This window comes from Homo sapiens, chromosome 14 (assembly GCF_000001405.40).
Source record: "Homo sapiens chromosome 14, GRCh38.p14 Primary Assembly".
Taxonomy (NCBI): Eukaryota; Metazoa; Chordata; class Mammalia; order Primates; family Hominidae; genus Homo; species Homo sapiens.
Window position 1 is genome coordinate 102,211,724 of NC_000014.9, and position 17,053 is coordinate 102,228,776.

At 52.1% G+C, this 17,053-nt stretch overlaps 2 protein-coding genes across 56 annotated transcripts in view; one reads left to right on the forward strand and one right to left on the reverse strand.

The window, feature by feature from the left end:
* Window positions 1–13,116, forward strand: part of WDR20 (WD repeat domain 20) — an 85,417-nt gene extending 72,301 nt beyond the window's left edge. For 17 of the 45 annotated variants that reach the window (NM_001353662.2, XM_011537337.3, XM_011537352.4 and 14 more), the window contains one exon: window positions 11,107–11,950. In NM_001353662.2, coding sequence (NP_001340591.1) covers window positions 11,107–11,160 — 54 coding nt within the window. In that variant the 3' untranslated portion in view covers window positions 11,161–11,950. Of the gene's footprint in view, window positions 1–796; window positions 3,283–9,833; window positions 9,936–11,106; window positions 11,951–12,877 lie in introns of those variants that run through there. The other 28 variants (XM_024449743.2, XM_024449742.2, XM_047431929.1 and 25 more) reach the window with 6 other exon arrangements.
* MOK (MOK protein kinase) overlaps window positions 2,873–17,053 on the reverse strand; it is a 90,569-nt gene continuing 76,388 nt past the window's right edge. For 5 of the 11 annotated variants that reach the window (NR_148555.2, NR_148556.2, NR_148553.2 and 2 more), the window contains 2 exons: window positions 13,372–14,685; window positions 12,718–13,071 (listed from right to left, as the gene is read on the reverse strand). Coding sequence is in view for 3 of the 11 variants with exons in the window: in XM_017021556.3 (XP_016877045.1) it covers window positions 14,562–14,685 (124 nt within the window). In the remaining 8 variants the exon portion in view is untranslated. Of the gene's footprint in view, window positions 11,375–12,064; window positions 12,235–12,717; window positions 13,072–13,371; window positions 14,686–17,053 lie in introns of those variants that run through there. The other 6 variants (XR_007064041.1, XR_007064040.1, XR_007064039.1 and 3 more) reach the window with 3 other exon arrangements.

Below are 17,053 nucleotides of genomic sequence, written 5' to 3' on the forward strand. Positions count from 1 at the left end.
GATTAGTGATGAACGCTCCATGTGCAACTTTTGCACCTACATAGTTGTAAACGTTCAGTTTCAAATGCTTCTGAGGCATTGAGTATGCAGTTTCAAAATTCAGGACTTAGTATTTGGCCTAAATAGAGAGTGGCCGATCCCAAGTAAGTAGCATTTATGGTGACATTTCTGGCGACCTTGCAGTTCTGAAGGTGTTGCCCTGGACAGGGAAGCCGTGGGGGTGTGTGCCCGAGTAACCAACGTGACCGACTGGGGACTCTCTGATTTCTCCCCCTTCTTTAAAATTCTCAGTCGCAGTGGCTGGGATGAAAGAGGGATTGCAGGGGTACACTGACAGGTGACTTAGGAGTCATTTGCTGATAGGAACCAGGGGTGGGAGAGGCAAGAGGAGGAGGTTATGTTTCCTTTGAAAACAACTCCGAAGTGTGCTGTCTAGTATGGAGGCCTGTGTGTGTCTTTCTCCCCCCACCTCCAGTTTTAAACACTATGATATTGTCAGTTTTGGATTTGAGGCTTGATAACAATCTTTTTCTTCCAGTTTTTGCCAAGGAGTGTACTGTCCTTAATGTCTGTCTGGTACCTTGTCTGGGGCCCCTTCGTTGTGTCTACGTGCCCTCCCCAAGGCCCCTCTTGCTGGGTTCAGGGCCCAGTGGAGAGCACTGTGCCAGCCTGGGGAGGGGCTGCCTTTGACTGCATGTCCTGACCCCTGGCTCAGCCCAGGCTGGCCCAGGCCCTGCAGGGCGACACCACTCTGTGTCCACTCTGCCCCTCTGACTGCTGCCCCTTTCTTTGACAGCCGGCAGAGCACTTCTGCAGGCAGGAGGACAGGATGCAAGGTGTTCTCCAAGACCAGAACTAAAAGTGCCCAACAGCTTGAGAAGAGGGCACTGGAGAGAGGGGCAGGGAAGCGCCCTTCTCCTCGGCTGTGCTTCTGAGTAATGGCTCCCGCAGACCTGGGGAGGGCCTGGGGAGGGGTGGCCGCGGTGGTTCCTGATATCAGGTGTGTAAGGTGCAATGCGTGCTGCTAACCCTAGGAGAAATTTGGGGAAAATATTTGTAGTTTTCTCGCCAAACTTTGAGCTTCCTCATTGAAATTTTTCAGTCTTTCAGCCTAAACGTTATTATGAGCAAGAATATCTTTTCTAACCTAATCTGTGGAATAAAACACAGCATTTGGCAAGAAGAGGCTGTTAAATACTCAGTCAGCATCACTGTTCCAGCGTGTACCAAACCACAGAGATGAAAGGCTCAGACGAAAGTCAGGTGCACGCTGCGTGGCTGGAGAATCCCGCTCCCACCCGGCAAGGGGGCGAGCTGGTCCCTGGGCGGTGTCAGACACCTTCTGAAGGTGCCAGGCCAGGGCCAGGGGAGCTTCAACTCGCCCTCCTTGGGTTGGCCTTTTTCACCAGAATTCAAGAAGCCAGATTTGTGCTGTGACTGCGATGGGGCAGGCTTCTAAACACTACTGGTGGCCCTGGAGCCTTTCTCTGAGGCTTTTTTCTTATTCAGAAGGAGAATTAAAAATTCCCCCAGCGGCCTGGAGAAGGGAACCTTTGGAAAAGCTTGCCTTCTTTTAAAAGCAAATGCATGTGCAGGAGTAGACACTTTACAAATAACCAGTAGCCTTGGGGTCGAAATTTGCTTAAATCATGGTAAAGGATCTCATTTCTCTTTTGTGCTGATTGAACCTTCTAGCAGTTTGGAAGTGTTTTCCTGTGAACCCTTAGCTGGGGACTGAGGGTAAATGCCTTAAAAATGGAGGCATGGAAAATCAGAAAGGAGCTATCACAATCATTCTTTTCTCAAAGGCGTTCAGGAATTCTGAGGAAGAAATGCAGTGACAGGATGGGATTTTAGGGGCAAGGACACCGTCCGGGCGGGGCCCAGGGCTCTCCACTGGCTGACTTCACCCCCAGGGCCCAGCTGGCACGTGGCCAGGCAGCCATTTCTCCCCAGTTCCTCCACTTCCTGGGGTTCATTTTAAATAATAAATTGTAAAGTATGAAATGAGTGCTGAAGTTGCCTGCATACAAGGTCCTCATCACCTCTCGCCTGGGAGGGAGACGTTTTCTTTCTTTGTTGAGCGAGCTCAAAGTGTGAGGCGGAGAAAACCTAGGGGTTGGGGGCGGCTGGAGAAGGGATCCACGGAAACCCAAGCGCCACATCATGCGTGTCTGACTGCCCACGGAAGAACTAGAAGCAGTTCACCAGTGGATTTTCTGGGGAACGATTCATGGAACACAGCGTCTGGCGTCCAGCTTTGTGGGTGAGGGCATGGCGGGGGATCCGGTGGCCCTGCCCTGCCTCCGGTGCCGGTGGATGGGGGAGGGACTGGCCTCTGACTGCGGGGTTGCACCATGGCGGCGGTCGGTGTGCCCTTGGCTGAGGTTTCGTTCCTTAGCAGTGAGAACCTCCACATGCGTGGGTAGGGGTCGGGTGACCTGGAGACGCCTCCTCCGGTCTGGTCTGGGTGACAAAGGTGAAGGTTTATAGTCTACCACCCTGGCAGCAGCCTGCAGGGCCCCCCCTTGTCTGGAGCACACCCTTCGCCACGGGCTGATTGGGACTGTCGGGTGTTGCTTTAAGTTAACAAGGTGCACATCACAGCGACCCCAAGTGATGTCCCAAAGGGAGGAGACATTAGTCTGGCCGAAGTGAAGTCTGTGGCTTTATATGTAAAAGCACTCGTATGCAACTGTTACCTTTGAAACTCAGATCCTAGTTACGAACTATAAGAACGTGCCCCTCCAGTAGAGGGAGACTGTCTCACTGATGTTGATTTCTTTATTCATTTCCGCATCTGTTACACGAACTTCGTGTCATAAATTGCTATCCTTTCATTTGAAAGTGTAAAAAATTTCCTGCATTTTTATCATTTCTGTATACTTGAGTTTATTAGAGATTGTTATGTTAGGCGACACTGTATAAAATTGTATGGATATTTTGAGTGAAAATCAAAAGTAAAATTCACATGTATTTCCTTTTTTATATTTTCATCCAATTTCTTGACAACTTGAATAAATTTCATAAAGAGCCTTCCTAACATGAAATATTGGTAAATTAAATTCTTTACTGTTGCAATAATTAATGAAACTTTAGTATCAGTATTGTTTTATAATTTTAAGGAAATCATGTTTGTTTCACTGCTTTGTTTTTTTTTTTAGCTGTTGCCTTGTCACTGTCACAGCTAACAAGACTTACTACATACTTGATATTCTGAAGTACTGTGGGGCTGTCCTCTGTATACTGACATTAAATAAACGTGTGTGAGTGAACTGTAAATGTAGATAATTTTCAGTAGTCATTTTCACATCTAAGCTTTAAAAATCCCAGTGAACCAAAACCAGAAAAGTTTTTAAATGCTGTAAAATTAAGGACCTTGTTAATGTTTATAGAACAGCCAGCCACCGGAATTGCTCCCTCTTACTAAAGCTGACTGTTTCTCATAGTTGGCAGCGTACTCGATGAAATGTTCTGCGTCTCAGATACTGTTTTATGTGGTCCTCCTCTGTGCCAACTCCAGTCCGGGAGAAGGACTGTTGATTGGCGTTTCGGCTGAGCTGTGTAGAGGCTTCTGTTTAATGAGAATGCAGACATTCTGAAGTCGTCCTGGGCCACGAGCTGGCTTTTGTTACATGGACTCACTATCCCGGATGCTGGACATCCGACATTCTGTCCAGCCACCCAGCCAGCAGCTGGGAGAGTGGAGAAGGTAGCGGCTGGTAGGCTGCTTGCTTTTTTTTATTTTGCTGTAAGTTCTGGGATATATGTGCTGAACGTGCAGGTTTGTTACATAGGGATGCATGTGCCACGGTGGTTTGTTGCGCCCATCAACCCGTCATCTATGTTTTAAGCCCCGCATGCATTAGGTATTTTTCCTTATGCTCTCCCTCCCCTTGCCCCCAGGTAGGCTGCTTTCAGTAGGAGCTCTTTTCCTGGCTAGAGTTCATTGTCTGCCTACTCCTCATCTTGAATAGTGTTTGCTTAAGGCTTTGTGCTGGCGTGAGGTTGTCCTGCTGTAGACACCAGGCCCGTCGTCGGTGCAGAGCGCTTCCTACACAGGGCAGTGGGGGACGTTCCATTTGGGATGAGAAGAACTCATGATTTACATTGTCTTACTATGAAATACCATCCCTCACTCTTGACAGACGACGTAGCTGATCTGAGCAGCGCCCTGGCACCCGCAGGCCTACCCCCCTGCCTGAGGTGTGATGAGTGAGGGCGAGCTGGCCTCAGACACAGCCCTTCCTCAGGCCCTTGTGCTCCCATTTAATTGTCACTTCCCTGCTGTGTCATGAGACATCCAGGTCCCACTCAGCCGCCTCTGCATGTTGGCAGCCGGCTGAGCCCTGTGCTCTGCCTCCAGCACGTTCATCGGGTGGGGAACTCCCAGAAGCTTCCCACGGTGCTGTCTCTGGAGTGCGGGGTCAGCAGAGCCTCCAGTGCTGAACTATCTGCACTTTTTGTCTTGAGTCTGGGCTGTCAAAGCGGAGGGAACATTCAGACCTACAGCTCTCAAAAGCGGCCTCCTGGGGCCTACGACTGCCACAAGAGTGCACAGGGCTCTGTTCTTAGCACTGAACAGGGCGTTTTGGTTTGTGTTTTTTGAGACAGGGTCTCGCTCTGTTGCCCGAACATGGCTCACTGAAGCCTTGACCTCCTGGGCTCAGTGATCCTCCCATCTAGGCCTCTTGAGTAACTGGGACCATAGGCACACACCACCAAACTCAGCTAATTTTTGTGTATTTTTATTTCTGTAGGTACAGGGTCTTGCCATGTTGCCCAGGCTAGCACTGAGTAGATTTTAAGCCCTAAAGACTATTAAGTTGACAGCAAGTTTTGTTTTTTTAAGAAAACCATGACATTTTGGTCTTTTAAAAATAGCTAGTTTGTACCTTCAAAAAAATAAAAATAGCTAGTTCTCAGCTGGGCATGGTGGCTCATGCCTGTAATCCCAGCACTTTGGGAGGCCGAGGCGGGTGGATCACCTGAGCCCAGGAGTTTGAGACCAGCCCAGCCATCATGGCAAACCCCCATCTGTACTAAAAATACAAAAATTAGCCGGGCGTGGTGGCGGGCGCCTGTAGTCCCAGCTACTCGGAAGGCTGAGGCACCATGAAAATCACTTGAACCCAGGAGGTGGAGGTTGCAATGAGTCGAGATGGCGCCACTGCACTCCAGCCTGGGCGACAGAGCGAGACTCTGTCTTAAAGAAAAAAAATAGCCATTTCTCCATGTGTGGCTGCCTGTCAGAATTAATGGATTCTGAACCCAGGGGTCTCTGGAGACGAATGGACCATCTAGAGGCTCTCAGCTCCCTACCACCCCTTCCAGGGTCAGTGGCCTCCAAAACCAGCCTCCCCTTTTAGGTGGGGGGCAGCATAAGCAAAATCCTCTTTGAAGTTACTCAAGCTAGAAAGGCTTTATGGAGACTAAGTGGGGTCCCTTCTTCCTGCCCCACACAGTAGAGAGGATTGCAGGGCCAAGTGGGTCCCAGGAGCGGGAGGGCCTCCAGTGACAGCCCGGGCCGGTGCTGGTCTCCATCAGTGAACGGGATCACGATGAAGGCCCACTGACTTGCACACGTTCTCTCTGATGCTTTTCTTCCACCTTCAGATCGCAGCGGAGCCCTTAGATGGTCGTGCCCTTCATCTGCGTGGTCTTTCCCCGGAAGTCTGAAGAGTACAATCCTTTTCTCTGGGTGGCTTTTCTCATTAGATGCCAGGTTGAGTGGCATCTGGGCAAGTGTGGCCCCTCACTGTCACCTGTCAGTGGACAGGTTAAAGCTGGCAGAGGTACGTGGTCCACTGCCCAGCTATAACTGAGGTCCCAAGCCAAACTGCACGGCAAGTCTGGGGCAGAGATGGGTCCCGACGTCCCTGGGCTGGGCCCAGGGTTCCCGGCTCTGTGGCTCACGTGCCGCTTGTGTGATGTAGAGACTGGCTTCGGGTGCCGTGAATAAACCATGGCTGCTTTCTCCAGGTTTGCTTTGGTTCCTTTCTGTTGTGGTCTGTGTAGTGAGAATGGTGGGAGTCTTGCACGTGAGCAGTTAAGGAGTGTGTTCAGAGCTGGAAGTCTTGGTTCTGAGAGCAGGCTAGCCTGGTCATAGTTCTCATCGTTTCCGCACCGTCTCTAAAAAGGTGTCGCTTTGCAAATAACATTTAACTCGTGTTCTCCCCAGGGTGAGATTCTGCCAGGAGCACCTGCCACAGAGGCCAGCATTGGAGCCTCAGGGGCTACGTGCAGGGCCAAGGCTGGCCTTCTCCCTCTGGGGGACGCCAGTGGAGGTGACCTCCACAGCACGCCGGCCAGCTGGCACCAAGCTCCCGGATGTTGTGGCTGTGTAGAACCAGATTCTGTCTTGTGGTACTTTGTCCACGATCTCAGGAGAGAAGCGCTAGTCTGCCCGCCCGCGTGCCTGCCATGAAACGGGTCCCAGGGCCTGTGTGCGTCTTACTTTTGTTTGGGTTGGAAAGGGTGACCTTGGGGGTTGAATGACCAGAGAGGGTATTGAACAGTCCCAGGTGGATGAGGGATGAGCTGGCGCCCAGCCCACACTCTCATCCACATCCCACAGCTGTCTCCTTGAGGTTCTGTCTTCTCTGACACTCACAGGCCAGGGGTCGTGGGGGTCAGAAGGGGAAGCCCTCCCAGAACCCAGAGCTAGGAGACCGTCCAGGCCTGACAGAGCTTCAGGACATGTCCTTTCTCTGACGTGGCCTGTGGCCCTCACAGTCCTATCTGGCTGTCAGAATCTCCAGTCCGAGCAGCACCTGCAGGGGCAGGAACATGGCCTTGCTGCTTTATTGTAAATTGTTTTGAACCAAAATATTTTTCATATATATTCTGGTGCAACAAGGTGTAATTCTCTTAACTTAGTATTATAAATTAGAATCAAACCCAAACCAAGAGCTGGAGTATTTTTTTATCACTTAATTTTGAACTGAAGTCTCTAGCGGGAATAAAACAGTGACTCTGCGGGGAGCCAAGCAGCTGACTAATATTAGAGCCAAGGCTTGCCCCGTTCCTCTCACGGTGTGGGGGCTGATGGGACGCCGTGCAGATTCTGCCTGGGGAGCTCCTTTGCCTGATGGCAACTGGTAAAGCCTGGAATTGCCAGCTGTCCTGCTTCTGGTGCACAGCCCAGCAGCTCCCGCACGCTGCTGAGCACAGGTGAAGCGTGGGCGGGCTCCCCTTGCCAGGTCCTCCGTCGGCCGGGCCGGGCCTTGCCCCTTTTCTCCCATGAAAAGGAAGCAGAAGGACAGGGTAAAACCCCACTCCCTCCCTGAAGAGCAGGCGGATTGGGGCAGCAGGGTCCCTGTCACCGGGAGTTTGACACGGATGACCATTTGGGCAGTGGATCCCCCACGCTGTGCTCTCGAGGGAAGCTGCAGCCGGGATCCTTCCATGGGGGCCTAGGTGTCTGTTTCTCGTCTTCCTCTTCTACCACCTGATAATCTTTAGACTGAATCACAGGCAGATAGAAACAAGGTGACTTTTTTCATTTGATTCTCTTTTGAATGGCGCTTTTTCCTCCTGTTGCCTCCAGTGTTCACCACGGCAAAGTGAGTCCATCTCCAGCAAGTGACAGGTGCCAAGATGAAGGGTCCAGTGACTCGCACAAGTCCTCAGCGGCATGCAGGGCGCCGAGGCCCCTTCCCTGCCACCCGGAGTGCTGTGTCGCACCCCCTGCTTCTGGGCATGCCTGGCACTGATGCCAACGCAGGGCCACAGCAGGCCCAGCACACTCCAGGGCTTGTGCCTGCAGGACTGTCTCCTGGGGCTTGCTGGGGTCACTGCTGGAGAACTGGAGGCCGGGCCCTTTGGGCCTTCGCTTCGCCTTCCGGTTAACTCCTCTTAGAGACCACCGTTTTCCCCTTTGCTCTGACGGGCGGGCTCCAGGGAGTCCCTGGTCAAGCACCCTGGGGTCCTCTTGGGTTTTTCACCGGTGGCCAACGTGCTTCCTGAGTGCTGCAGCATGGGGACCCTGAGTTTTGATCATGGGCACATTCTCTGCATGGCGATGCATTCTAAAAGAACTGTTAACCAGGGCTGCCATCAAAAGGGCGAAGCCTGCTAACGGGAACCCCCAGTTCCGTTATGCCAGTATGGACTACAGAAGACGAGAGGAGGACAGGTTTGAGGGCGGTTGATTCAAGATCTCTCTGGAAGCTGGGCCCAGTGGAGAGTGGGACAGTGGAGGGCATGAAGGTGGTTCTAGTTGGCTCCTAGCTGCCACCACAATTGGCATCAAGGCGTTAGCCAGCAGAAACTGGAGAATGAGTGTGCATTTGTTTTGTGCTAATGGGAGAATAGGAAGCCTGCAGCCCTCGCGTTGGGTCGCTTTCTAGGGGTGCGGCTTTGTAGGGACCAGCTGGCGGAAGCAGCGTGTCCCTCAACATCAGGCTCTGGCAGCCTGGTGGCTGCGCCACCTCTGCGTCTCAGCAGCCGCCCTCCCCTGGGAGTGATGGAAAGCAGCCGAGTCCTCTGGGGCCTCACACTCAGTGAGAGGAAGTCTAAGGAAGGGTGCTGTCCCTCATGGCCGTCAGAAGCCACCTGCAGCCACTAAGTATGTAAATTGGGGCCAGTCCAACCTGAAAAGTGCCATAACGTGTCAACCACACAGCACACCTCAAAGGCTTCTTACCAAAAAAGTCATTAGTAATTTTTATATTGCTGAATATTATATGAAACATCTTCAGTTAAAATATTAAAATTGGCCAGGTGCGGTGGCTCACGCCTGTAATCCCAGCACTTTGGGAGGCCAAGGCAGGTGGATCACGAGGTCAGGAGGTCTTCAAGACCATCCTAACAGTGAAACCCCATCTCTACTAAAACTACAAAAAGTTAGCTGGGCGTGGTGGCAGGCGCCTGTAGTCCAAGGTACTTGGGAGGCTGAGGCAGGAGAATCACTTGAACCCAGGAGGTGGAGCTTGCAGTGAGCCAAGATCGTGCCACTGCACTCCAGCCTGGACAACAAAGTGAGACTCCGTCTCAAAAAAAAAAAAAAAAAAGAAAATATTAAAATTAATGTCACTTGTTTTTATTATCTATCTTTTCATTTTTTGAGACAGGGTCTTGCTCTATCCCCCAGGCTGGAGTGCAGTGGATCGCGGCTCATTGCACCCTGCATCTCCTGGGCTCAAGCCATCCTCCTGCCACACAGCCTCCTGAGTAGCTGGGATGACAGCCGTGCGCCACCACACCCGGCTAATTTTGTATTAGTAGAGATGGAGTTTCACCATGTTGGCCAGGCTGGTCTCAGACTCCTGGGCTCAAGTAATCTCCCCACCTCAGCCTCCCACAGGGCTGGCTGTCACTTGTTTTTAAGTTGTTAAACGTGCTCCCGGGAAGCTAAACTTAACACAGGACTGGTAGAGACACCACCTTCCTGTGGGTGGGGCTGCCTCCTACCTGGAGCAGCACTCACCTCCACCTGGCACTCCGTGAAAGGGGAGGGAGACTCTGTGGCTGCCAGATGAGGGTGGCCCCTCTCCGTCTGTCCCCAGGCTGGGTCACCACCACTTTCTCCCTCTGCCAGGAGTAGATGACTTTTCTGTTGCCGGGGGGAAGGGAGGTGCCTCCTGGTTCTGGAGATTTGTCACTTCCTGGACACCACATAGCTTGTGGAAAGCACTTTCTTAGGGTGCGCGTGGTGATGAAGGCAGAGTGTCCTGTGTGAGAGGCTTCCTTCCTCCAGACTGTCTGCGGCAGAAGTGGGGTCAGGAACCTGCTGCCCAGCTTTCCTCCACAGGCTTGATGTGTTTGAGCCAGAAGTATGGGGCGTTTGCGGGGTCCTCCACAAGTACAAACAGGGTTCTGTCCCTTTTCAGGGGTCCCAGAGGAAAAGCACTCCTATAGACTCTGAGCAGGGGCAGCTGCCACATTCCGTTTGCTTCCTGAGCTTGTCTAGGTGAACAGATTTCAGGTGGAAGGTAAGAAACGGGATGAAATGACTTGAGCGGGACAGCTTGCTTCCAGGCTTCCGGCAGCAGGGCGTGGGCGAGGCTGAAGGGCAGTTTCCGATTGTCACCTTCATTTGTGTCCACACAAGTCCAATATGTGAGAAGGTAGCAATGTCAGCTTGAGTTAAAGGCTTGTCATTTGTAAACAGTACTCATCAGCTGAAGCCTTCTTCCATGACAGCTAAGTTGTATTCCCAGAGCTGAAAATGTGCACCTTTGGGGCTGCACTGTCGCCATCTTAATGTTCTTCATAAATGAACGCCACACTTTGATGTAATGTAATTGCTGCTCAATAGTAAATGCAAAGAAATGGAAGTACTCTTTGCTGTGTAGGAGGTTAAACCCTCTTAGGTTTACCCAAGGTCACACCAGTATTGTAAAATCTGGGTGAGATTCCCCGCCCCCGCCCCCGACAGTGAGCCTCTCAGCAGGAGCCGCCCTAAAGAGCCAGATGCCCCCCACCATTCTTCCTGCTGGCCCTGGTGGGTTGGCCCCCACATCCCTTCTCCACACCCAGCTGCAGCCTCACGGCAAGACTACTTTGTTCTGGGGCTCCCCCGACCTCGGCCTGGGCCCTGCTGTCTCTACCTGTGGGGCCTACACATGTGGACAGCTACAGCCAGGGGGTGCCACGGTCACACCACCCAACAAAGCAAGAACCCCCCAGCAGAGAATGCCCTTTCAAAGGTGCCACTGAACTCTATCCTTGGAGACAACCCCTGGCTCCGAGGGACTGGGTGTGCGGTCCAGAACTGCGGTGCCCTGGGCTCAACCCTGGCTGAAGGCGCTGAACACCTCCCACGAGGCACCTGCACCTTTGGGTCAGCAAAGCTCCAAAGAACCTGTTCTCAGGTGCTGAGAAACCACTGTCTCCCCCAAGGGCAAGGCCAGCCCTGCCCGCCCTTCTCTTGGACGGTATTGAGGCCACAGTATTGCACCCAGCAGGGTTCCAATTCTCTAGGAATGGAACGCAGTGATCTGGATAGGAATTAAATAGATGAAGTGGAGGGTTTGCTCCCACACTGGCTTCCACATCAACAGCACCAGTTTTGACCACGTGGAGCTGCTGGCGGAGGGCGCGCATGGTGGCTGTTGCCCGTCCGGTGTTTTGCTGGATTAATGTAGACTGCTTTGTTTGCAGGGCTCATTGTCATCCCCAAGCCAGGCCAGTTCTCCAGGTGGAACTGTAGTGTAGCGACCTCACTGCTGCGCGCACAGTCTCCCGGGACTTGGACTCGAGGGAGTGACGAGGAGGAGCTCCGAGCTGCGCCTGAGCCGTGCCAGCCGGCGGACCTCAGGCGGTGGACGTCGGCGATAGCCGTGTGGACGGTGACCGGCTCACTCTGCGGCGCCGTGCTCCCGCTGCTCACCCAAAGAAGTTGTTTCCATTTTAAACCGGTCTTTTGGGGCTGCAGTAAAAAATAAGAAATGGAGTTTTCTTGCTTTTTACTCTAAAATTCAATGTAATTAAATTTCATATATATATAATATATACATATATACATAGTGTAAAATAAAATGTTTCTTGGACAAGAAATCCCCTGAAATTCAGCTGTTATAGTGCTTCACTGTTTTTGCACTGATTTTTCTATACCTTAGGTGGTCAGAAGACAACCTTGAATGCACTCATAGAGAAAACTGTTACTTTCTGACGTAATGTAATTCAGGAAGACAGACGCTGCAATCACAGATTTTAAAAAATTGTTTGCACTTAAAAATAGTTGAATGCTGGTGGAAAGTTACTTTGCAGATGGGTGTAAGGACTCATGGCCCTCTGAGGTGCGGCGTGAAGATGCCCTTTTTACCCGTTGACGTTTATTTTACGTAAAATAAACTGTTGTTTCCAATGCAATCAACTCTGTATTATATGTATAAATATTGTAATTCTGCAATTGGGGAAAATAGTTACTTCACTAGTAATTTTCATCATTTAAGAGTGATATTTCTAATTCACAAAAGTTAATATTAAAACTATCTTGAATATACCGCTTGTTTATCTTCTGTTAAATTGGCTTAGTTTGTCCTGTACATTTGGGTTGAACTGGTTGGTATGGAATTGTTTTGTCTTTTTCACCCCATGTTACTTGAAGCCCCCTCACCAGTCACACTTGAGATGGGCTGTTCAAGAATATGGCTCAGGAGGGCGTGGGCTCTGTGGTCGCCTCACAGCCTCAGCTGTCTGTGGCCACTGTGGGCAGCTGCACGTCTGCACAGGGCTTCAGGATCACGTTTCCATACAACTCCGAGTCCTCCTTTCGTCATTGAAAGCCTGTGACCACACATAACACAGTTTCTACAGTGAGTATGAACATGGGACATGAACTAGCTAATCACACTGTTTACCTGAGATTTTTTTTTTTTTTTTTTTTTTGAGATGGAGTCTCCCTCTGTTGTCCAGGCTGGAGTGCAGTGGCGCAATCTCGGCTCACTGCAAGCTCCGCCTCCCGGGTTCACGCCATTCTCCCGCCTCAGCCTCCCGAGTAGCTGGGACTACAGGCGCCCGCCACCACGCCCGGCTAATTTTTGTATTTTTAGTAGAGATGGGGTTTCACCATGTTAGCCAGGATGGTCTCGATCTCCTGACCTCGTGATCCGCCTGCCTTGGCCTCCCAAAGTGCTGGGATTACAGGCGTGAGCCACTGCGCCCGGCCTTACCTGAGATTTTTCTTACTTGGTTGAAACCAGCTCGTGAGCATCTGAGTTTAGGGCATCCCACACCTGCTCAGCGAGTTACTGGAATCCCAACAGAATGTGCAGCTACCAAGCAGAAGAATGTTTATTTATTTTTTTAAAAAATCATATACAACTGGATCCTTCGAAAGCTTTATTTTGTGAGACTTTAAACCATGAAGTGTCTGAAACCTATTTCTCTAATTCATCACATTAAATTGGGGGCATGTCTTTACTTTCAGGCTTTTGAGGGGAGGTATGCTACATTTTCACCATTTGTATGAATGCAGCCACGGAAAACTTCACATCAGCTCAGCCCTCGGTTTAGTTTTCTTCGGAGGAGACATTAGTTACAGCTTGAGTTCTCAGCCTGCCCCACTCGAAGGCGCCAGCAGGGACTCTGGATCACGGGGCCATGAACTATGGAGTGAGTCTTCTAGAAAGAGAAATAATAAAAGACACTAAGACTTGCTGTTCTAAATGAAAGAATCAGAATGGATGAATTAGACACATGCAGAGTGACCTCTGTATTAAAATAAGATATTAGCATGTTTTAGGTACTTTGGTATTTCTGTCATCTTAAAGTGTTGATTGCTAGGTGCTGTCAGTTATACAGGAAGCCAAACCCAGGAGGGCCCAAAACAGCTACAGTGAACTGCGGGTGTATTTGGAAGGCAGAAGGAACTACTTTTGAAAATAAATCTAGAATTATTTTCTGTTTAAGACAGAGTCTTACCTGTCATCCAGGCTGGAATGAAGTGGTGCGATCATAGCTCATTGTAGCCCCAACCTCCTGGGTTCAAGTGATCCTCCCATCTCAGCCTCCCGAGTAGCTGGAATCACACGTGTGTGCCACCATACCTGGGTAATTTTTTGATATTTTGTAGAGATGGGGTCTCCTTATGTTGCCTAGGCTGGTCTCAAACTCCTGGGCTCAAGCGATCCTCCTGCCTCAGCCTCCCAAGATGCTAGGATTACAGGTGTGAGCCACCGCACCCGGCCAAGTCTAGAATTCTTAATCCAGCCATCTTCCTGGTCATCTCCTTATTCTGTCTCCTGTTTGTTGGAAGTGGCAGGTGAAAGTTTAATACCAGGACAATAATTGTGTAAAGATTTGAGCAGTTTGGTCAGATGATCCAGCCGTGTCCAAAACTTTTGTTGGCCCCGAGATGGCATCACTCGAGATGGTTAGTCCTAGCTCTGCCTCAGCCCAGTCTGTCACCCTTCGCTGGTTCTGGAATGCAGTTTGCATTTGGCCATCACTGTACTAACGCTGTCAGATACGCCCCAGTTTACTCTAGATGCATGTGTGTCAGGAATAAGTCTTTATTTTTATGGTGCTGTTCCTAAGACTGCTCTGTAGCCAAGTGGGCCAACATGACTTCCAAAATCTAACTGCCTCGTAACTGTTCCCACCACTGTCACCATGGACTCAAGCATTCAGCAGGCCCTGGGCAGATGGTAGCGAGGCAGCGTCAAGGCTGGTCATGCCCTCACTCAGGTGCCCTGGAAAGACTAGCTTCCCTGGTACGATTTGGGTTTGCTCTTCTCACTTGTTGCCTTGCACTTTCTTACACTTCTGGCGTTGGAGAATGCACGGGGATTAGGCCCAGAAGAAGCCAGGAAGAGGTCGGCCGTGCCAGGGGTGGGTCTAGCTGGACTCTAGCTGCCTTGTGGCAGGCTGGCTGCACCGCAGGTGTGGGGACAGCAGAGCAGATGGGAGGTCACGGTCGCACTGCTGCCGCCTGTCACACGAAGACGTGCACGTCTGAGTGCCAGATGGAAATGGCTGATGGAGATGGCTGCTTACTGCTTCTCCCTGCAAGGCCTGCCCCCGCCAGTGTGGGGTGTGACTGGGCTCCCCTGTGCTTCTGCCCGGTGTCTTCTTTAAGGTCAGGAGGGTGAGGTGGGTGGATGAGGGTAGGCTCACACAAGAAGGGTGACACTGCGGCCGGGCAGCATGCAGGTGCTCAGCAGAGGGTTGAGGGATGAACGTGTTTGAATGGGGAGGAGGACGGCTGAGGCCTCATCCTCGCTTCCGTTCTGGGTTCTGTGGGGATAATTCAAGCGCTTCAATTGCATTGCACAGAAGAATGGAAATAATCCGGCCAGCCAGGGTTCACGAGCTTTCCAGTTTGGGGTGGCAGAGGCCCCGCCGGGGCCCCGGCAGCAGGGCAAGGTGGCCTCCTATGGGCTGAGCCAGCCTGGCCCCTCTGCCCTCAGCCCTGGCCCCCATCACAGGGCCCAGACGGACACAGGGAACCACACGCAGCTGAAGCGGCCTGGGGACCCTGACGCCTCCTGCCAAGAGCAGGCAGGTGCAAGGGCCAAGTGCAGGGCGGGAAGTCCAAGGGTGGCTGGCAGGATTTCCCTTTTCTCCAAATCTGTAGGAAATCATCACCCTCGGAATCTCCACCCTTGGACTTGGGAAGCTGATGTGGGAACCCTGCTGTGCGCCACAAACCCCGCCGCTCCTCCATGGAGGGGGCCTGTGGAGCTGGGCTCTGGTCCCCTGCTCACCTCCAGCCTGGAGGCCCAGCTGCCCTGGGCCCTGGCGTGCCGGGCTCGACACTGCTTCAGAGCGTTTACGCCCGAGTCTAACTAAACCAGGAGGGCCTCAAGTGGTGGACCTTGGGATGGTCCTCCTCTTGCTTTAGGGACTGTTTCTTGCCTCCAGAGGGCCCCCAGCCCCGCTGCCCCCACCACGAGGAGTGTGACAGTCAGGACAGGGCAGCTGGTGTCCTGGGCACCGGCATCTGCAGACCACATTTGCTTTCTCAAAAAAGCCTGCAGAAGAACTGTAAAGACTTTCCCTTCATATTTTATAGACATAAAGAGAGTAACACGTTTCCCAAGTACACACTCAATCCGTTAACATGCCTGACCCTGAAGCCAGGCCGGGGGACAGGGCATGGCCCTCCTAGCCACCACTCCCCTACCCACAGGTCCCTCTCTTGTGACCTGCGCGCCGCCCCCCCTACAGCCATCTCCCCAGCCTTCTGTCCCCCAGCCCTCCCTGCTGCTGGGCTCTGCCCACGGCCTTGACGTCCGACTCCCCTGGGACTCCCAGGCCCTCTGTAGAGGCAGAACGGCACCACCCCCCTGCTCAGACACCTCCCCTACAGCAAGGGCAGCCCTCAAGGCTGCACCAGGGTCTCAAATGGGTTTAAAAGGAGCCCGGGGAAAGGCCTGCACTGCACCCTGCTCTGGAACATTATGGCAAGCCTCCCTTCCGGTCTGAAAATTACGGCAAGCCTCACTTCCGGTCTGAACATTACGGCAAGCCTCACTTCCGGACTGGAATCTGCCCTTCTTCTTGGGTTCCTTTGCCCCCATGTGGTGCAGAGTGGGCACCTGTGCCCACGGACTCGCTGCCCCACGCTCCCCGCCCTTGCCTCCTCCTCCAGCCTGCCCTCCCTCCGCGTGGCCCGCGGTCCATCTCCTGCGGCCCCGCTGTCGTGTCAGGTGGCCTGGGGCTGGGGCCAGGACCACTGGAGAGCACGTGAAGGAAGGGTGTCACAGATTTGTCTCAACAGGGGAGCAAGGAGGCTTAAACACTACTAGCCTGGGAAATTTAGCCTTTTTCAAAAATATCTCTTTAAGTTTGGGAAGATGACAAAAAAGAAAGAAGACCCAATTACTAAGTTACTTTCCCAGATAAACAAGAGGACTTACTAGGACTTTTCTTGTGCCCAGCAGCCCGGCCAGTGCCACGGTTTCTTTGCAATGTTCCCATTCCCATCCCCATGGGGAAACAGGTTTCTCTTTCTAGGACACAAGGTGCCCAACTTATTGTTGGCACTCAGCAAACAGCTCAAAGCACCCACTGACAGGCCAGGGGCAGGGCTCCATACTCCCCAGAGACAGCTGAGCACCAGGAGCTAAAATGACAACGTGGTCACCTTGAAGCCTATGCTCAGAAGAGACCCTTCAGGCCTGCCCTGTGCCCCGCACCACCTCGCCAGGCTGGTCACTGAGGAGCACACAGGGCTCCGAGGACACGCCTGTGTGTGTTCCTTTCTGAATGGTTCTTCAAATGAAAATTAAGCCACACCAGGCCAGGCGCGGTGGCTCATGCCTGTAATCCCAGCACTTTGGGAGGCCGAGGCGGGAGGATCACCTGAAGTCGGGAGTTTTGAGACCAGCCTGACCAACATGGAGAAACCCCGTCTCTACTAAAAATACAAAAAAATCAGCCGGGCGTGGTGGTGCATGCACGTAATCCCAGCTACTTAGAGGCTGAGGCGGGAGAATCCCTTGAACCCGGGAGGTGGAGGTTGCAGTGAGCCAAGATTGCGCCATTGCACTCCAACCTGGGCAATGAACGAAACTCCGTCTCAAAAAAAAAAAAAAAAAAAAATTAAGCCACACCAAAGTCTTCCCAACAAAATCAATTCCCCTCGTGTGCCCACAAAAGC